Below are 6000 nucleotides of genomic sequence, written 5' to 3'. Positions count from 1 at the left end.
CTCACGAGATCTGATGGTTTTATAAAGGGGAGTTTCCCTGCACAAGCCCTCTTCTCTTGTCTGCCATCATGTGAGACATACCTTTCACCTTCCACCATGATTTTGAGGCCTCCCCAGCCACGTGGAACTGAGTCCATTAAACCTCTTTCTTTTGTAAATTACCCAGTCTCAGGTATGTCTTTATTAGCAACGTGAAAATGGACTAATACAACCTCCATGTGACTGTATTTGGAGATAAGGAATTTAAGAGGTAATTAGGTTAAATGAGGTCATAAGGATGGGGCTCCAAGATGGCAGGATTGGTAGCTTTATAAGATTCTCTCTCTCTTTCTCTCTGTCTGTCTATCTCTCTCTCTACCTCTCTCCCCCTTTCTCCCTCTCTCCCTCTCTCCCTTCCCAAGCACACACCAAGGAAAGGTCATATGAGGACACAATAGGGAGTTGGCCATCTGCAAGACAGGAAGAGAATCCTCACCAAGAACCTAATCTTCCAGCACCTTGATCCTGGACTTCCCAGCCTCCAAAATGGAGAGAAACAAATTTCCATTGTTTACGCCACCCGATGTGTGGCATTTTGTTCTAGCAGTCCAACAGAATAAGACAGCAATCATAAGGGAAGACTGTGAGGTAGAAGGTGTGAAGAAGGATGAATAGGAGTTAACTATGTGGAGGGAGTAGGGGAAGAAGAGAATTCCAGAAAGAGGAAAGAGCCTGGAGGTAGGAAGCAAGGCGATTTCCCTGAGGGAGAAAGTGGAAGTGGCTGGCTGGCAGGGTAGTGTATAACATGAGCAGATTTTACATTTAAAGGATTTGGGGAAGAATGGGTTGGGGGAAGAAAAGAGCTTAGGTTGAACACATTGTTGTAGTTCAGGTGAGACATGAGGATGGCTTGGACTCAGGCGTTGGTGTTGATGGTGGTAGAGCTAGACAGCAGTGGATAGATTCAAGCAGAGAAATCAATAAAATTTAATGATGGATTAGACATGAGTTGGAGAAAAGGGGATTATCAAGAATACACCCTGGGTTTTTGGCCTGTTCAATTTGTTCACTGAGACAGGGAATATTAGAAGAGGACCAGGATTAGGGAGGAAAAAATATTCGGGTGGTTTTAAATTCTGTGTCCAGTAGGATGCAAGCAATATAAATGAACTCTGATTATCTAAAAACATGAAGTTGGAGGAGAAAATCAAGAACTCGCCAAATCAAAGGATGCTAGAGCAAAATGCCTGAAAACCAGAGAGTGTCTTTGGACAAGAATCATCTGGCCAGGAGACCCGACACTACAAGCATCATGCCACTGTACTACCAAAGATGAATCCTAATCCTGTCTTCATTTATGTCCTTCTTACTTAAATTTACAATCCCTGGCAGCAGTGTCTAATTGATGAGGTGACACACCCAAGCCTTGGCTTCTATGATTATAGGGAGAGAGAGCATCTGACACCTTCATGTCAGTAGCAGGAAATGAAGCATTTTTATTTCCTAGACTATATTCACTGGGGAATGCTTCCAAATAGAGAGCACAGCATACAACAACAACATGGTTAAATATTAGACAGTCAGAAATAAAATGGCAAGCGTATACCACAACATTCACTCATATCCTTCTTCTCAAAATTACACTGCCCAAAAGATTGTTCCTCCTAATGTAATATAGGTATTATTTGTACAGGTTGAGCATTCTTCATCCAAAAATCTAAAATCCGAAATGCTCCAAAATTCAAAACTTTTTGAGTACCAACATGATGGTACAAGCAGAAAATTTTACACCCAAAAGTGGAAAATTTGACCTCATGAGACTGGTCATAGTCAAAACACATATACAAAATTACTTAAAGTATTATATAAAATTACCTTAAGCCTATGTATATAAGGTGTATATGAAACATAAATGAATTTCATGTTTAGACTTGGTTGTCATACCCAAGATATCTCATTATGTACATGCAAATATCCAAAATCCAAAAAAATCCAAAATCTGAAGCACTTCTGGTCCCAAGCATTTTGGATAAGGGATATTACAAAATGCTTATTACAAATGGATATTACAAAGGATATTATATTCCTTTTCCAAATGAAGGTAATCACAAATCGCATCAGTTACTCTATTTAGTCACAAATCTACAGTCTCCAGGTTATATCCTTTCTCCCTCTAGTTTCATTGTGATATGTATTCTGTAGTCTAAACAATAAATTTTAGAATTAACCTCCACTAATAAAAGATATATATTTTATTCTACTATAGAGTATACAGAAAAGAACTCTGTTTACCAGACTTGGTTTTTGGATAGTAAAATCAAACGTGGCCTTAATGGAATGTTCTATTTCAGCCCCAAGAATTCTATGATCCATTACTCCCTGTTAGAGATTTCTGTAGTCATCCCATTCCATACCCTGCTGCCATTATGGTGACCAGGCCCACCGTTTATTCCTCCAGTGATAAGTGACTCACCTGGCTTCTCCCCTCTTAGGGACTCACTATTCCTACTGAAATCAAGAAATTGATTTCTATTTCAGCTTCTCGAACAACCTGCAAAGAACAACCAGTACAACCCTTTTGAAATATGTCAGAGCTTTGAATACAATGTATATCTCAAAAGCCCTAATGAATGGAATGTTTTCTGGGCCTGCTTTAGGGATACATTTTTGGATGGGTGGCAGGACACTTATGATAAATCAAATCCAAGATTTCAATCTCCCACTTATTTTAATAATCTTCTTCATGTTATTCTAAGGCATTTGTGACACCTGAAGTTCAGATTAAGTTCAAGTTAGTGTTAACCAGCCCAGCTTCTATTACATGGCATCAGGAATCCCTAGTAAGTGAACTCATTTTGATAAGTTCAGACTAATCTAAAACTTTTCTCCATCTCTGGTCATATACCCTAAAATTCTATTCTTACATGAGTATATGTGATTGCTACTGATATAAACTGGGGGAGTCCTACAATCTTTTGATGTCTAAGCCTTCTCCTCCTGGGTTTTACTTTATAATTGTTGTCCTGAGGCTGCCTGGGTTTCTAACTCTAGATATAAATTGCAAATCATTCTATTTCCTTCTAGCAGCATAACCACCTCATTTAAGGAAACAGTACTCACATGTTGATTCTGTGAGCCTATGTATCCTTCTAATATCCTTCTAATAAATTCCTTTCTTTTTTTTTTTTTTGCTGAAGGAAACCAGTATTGTTTTCTGTTATATTTGCAATCAAAAGCATCTTAACTGAAAGAATTTGGAATCAGGAAGTAGGGTGTTACATAAAGCCATGAAAGTGTCCTTAATATTTTGGGAAGATAATGTAGAAGTATATGGCGTAAAATGACTAAATGGTAATTAAATTATCTTCCTTGGTCACCTGAGCTCAACTGCCCAACAGGATATAAAGCTCTAGGAGACAATGTTGCCACCACCAGTGAAGAATTCAAACAATTCAGTGACTATCAGTAGAAGTCAGTGTTTCTGATGCATTAGTAATATTAAAGAAAGAGATTATCAAATTCAAATACATAAATTTTTGTCTCACGGTACGAACTAAAACCTAGGAACTTTTAGTTACTGGGCTAACAGCACCTCCGACCTTGCAAACCAAAACTAAAACCAGACATTCACCACTCCCAATATTAATCCACTTTTGGGCTGCCACATTTGAATATTAATCTATCTAGTTCTCACATGAAAATAACAGTTGATTGTGAAAGAGTGATTCCAAAAGAATTTGGATGAGGGCACAGGGAAAGACCCCTTCCAAATAAGCTCCCTTATAACAATCTCTACTTTTCTGAATGACCAGGCTTGAAAAATAGACAAAAACTGAGGTCACTTTGGAGGTCCTACAACCACAGAGGACCATAAACATGTTCTAAGAGAAACAGGGGTGTTGGAAGGAGGAGCATCTAAGAAAAGAGGCAGATGTCTATTAGAGATATGTTGAAATTGAGATATTTTGAGACATACAGAAAAAGAAGTAGGTACCTGGACATACAGACCTCAAACTCCAAGTCTGAAACAGGAATACTAATTTGAAAATATCTTGTATATACATACTCACTAAAGCAACGGGTTTGAACGGCATGAGTTAGGAAGCCAGTGAAAATTGAGAAGTTCCAGGACTGAACCTTAAGGAAATGCCTACATTTAAAGGCCAGGAAGAAGAATCCATCTGAAACAAAATAATTGACCAGAGATGTTGAAACCAAGAGACTGTGTCTTGCAGAAATCAAGGGAAGACTGTTTCAAAAAGCAGGGAGAGATAAGCGTTGTTGAATGCTACTGCAACGTGAAGTCAAAGGAAGATTTAAAAATACCTCAGGAATTCACAACATGAGGGGCATTGGTGACTTTCATTATTGCTATTTTAATGGAGTGGTAGGACCAGAAGCCAGACTGGAGTAGGTTGGGCAGTGAGTGAGTGGTGACGAATTGTAGACAGCTGGTATCATTAACAACCACTTGGAGAAATGTGGCTGTGAAGAGGGAGAAGGACAGGGCAGTACCTGAAAGAAAAGAAAGTCTTTTGGTTTTGTTTTGTCTAGTTGAAGAAATTGTATTGTTTTAAAGTCAAAAGGGCGAATATAAAAGGCAAAATTGAATATACATGAACAAAAAATGGATAAAAATAGTATGATGTTACAGAGAAAATGAGAGGTTTTGAAGTCCAACGCATGGGTGGTAGAGTTAGCCTCAGCCAGGAGAAGGGTATCATCGCTCTATCATAACAACATATGAGGCTCAGTGCCGAAAAACGTGTTTTGTGTTTGAAATAGAAAAGATGAGGGAGTTCCCAAAAGCTAGCTGCTATTTCTCTGTAAAGAAAAGAAGGCATCTGCCGAGATGAAGGTGCTAGAGTAGGGTTTCTCATCTCGGCATACTGACATCGTGGACCAGACAATTCTATACTGTGTGGGAATGTCCTGTGAGTTGCAGGATGTTGAGCAGCATCCTTGGCTTTTACCCACTACATTTCAGTGGCACTCCTGCCCACCCCAAACAGTGACAGTCAAAACTGTCTTCAGGTATTGCCAAATGTCACCGAGGGGTAGGAGGCATAACTGCTCCTCCCACCACAACCCCACTCTCTTGTGGCAACCACTGGGTTGGAGAGAGTAGAAGAGAATGGAGAAAGTCTGGAAGTGTCTTGTTAAGTGGGAAAGTAAGTCAACCAAATAGAAACAAGGGGCTTGCCAGACAGTGTTGAGGATCATTTGAAGTCAGATTTGAAACCTGATGGAATCAATCTGCCATACCGTACTTTTTCTGCTAAGACCTGGGCTGCTAGGGTGCAGGTACTGAAAAAGTTGATGTTTGCTAAAGTTAGAGGGTTGGACAAAAAAAAAAAAAAAAAAGAAGTAGAAAACGGCTTGAGATACTGGCAAAGCACTTCTTGGAATTATGAACCACAGAATCTAAGTAGGTTGGTGGGCAGAGAGGACAGTTAAGAAAAAGATCTTTTAAAGAGGAATACTGAGGTAACTTTAGGAGCTAGAAATGAAATTTTGGCCAAACATCTTAGAGATACACACACACACACACACACACACACCTTATTTCAAAAACAGCTTATGCTTCCCTTCCTCGTGTACTAAATGAAGAAAATTAGAATATAAACAATTATGTGTTCTGTTTACTTTGCATCCTAATTAAAACTCATTGTTATAGCATTCAGTTTATCAATAACTACTTCTGAAAACTGCTGCAAAGAATTTTATCTTTGCATTTCAGATTTCCGAACCTCTTATTTGCTATAAGCAATACATAAACAGCAAGGTATTTATGAAATGAAAAAGGACTCTGTTTTTACTTAAAGATTGGTCAACTAAAATGTCCTGTATGGCTTCTGTAGGGCAGTGCCCAGAATTAAATCTTTATCTCTTTGAAAGAATAGTAAAACTGAAAGGGGAAATTAACAATAAATCTATTTTGAGAAGTGGAAATAATTAATGTGCCAGGTTCTTCTCAGTAGATTTCATATGTGACAGGCAAGACAAAACAACAACAAAAAA

The sequence above is a fragment of the Homo sapiens genome, chromosome 6, assembly GCF_000001405.40.
Source record: "Homo sapiens chromosome 6, GRCh38.p14 Primary Assembly".
Taxonomy (NCBI): domain Eukaryota; kingdom Metazoa; phylum Chordata; class Mammalia; order Primates; family Hominidae; genus Homo; species Homo sapiens.
Note: the sequence above shows the minus strand (reverse complement) of the source record.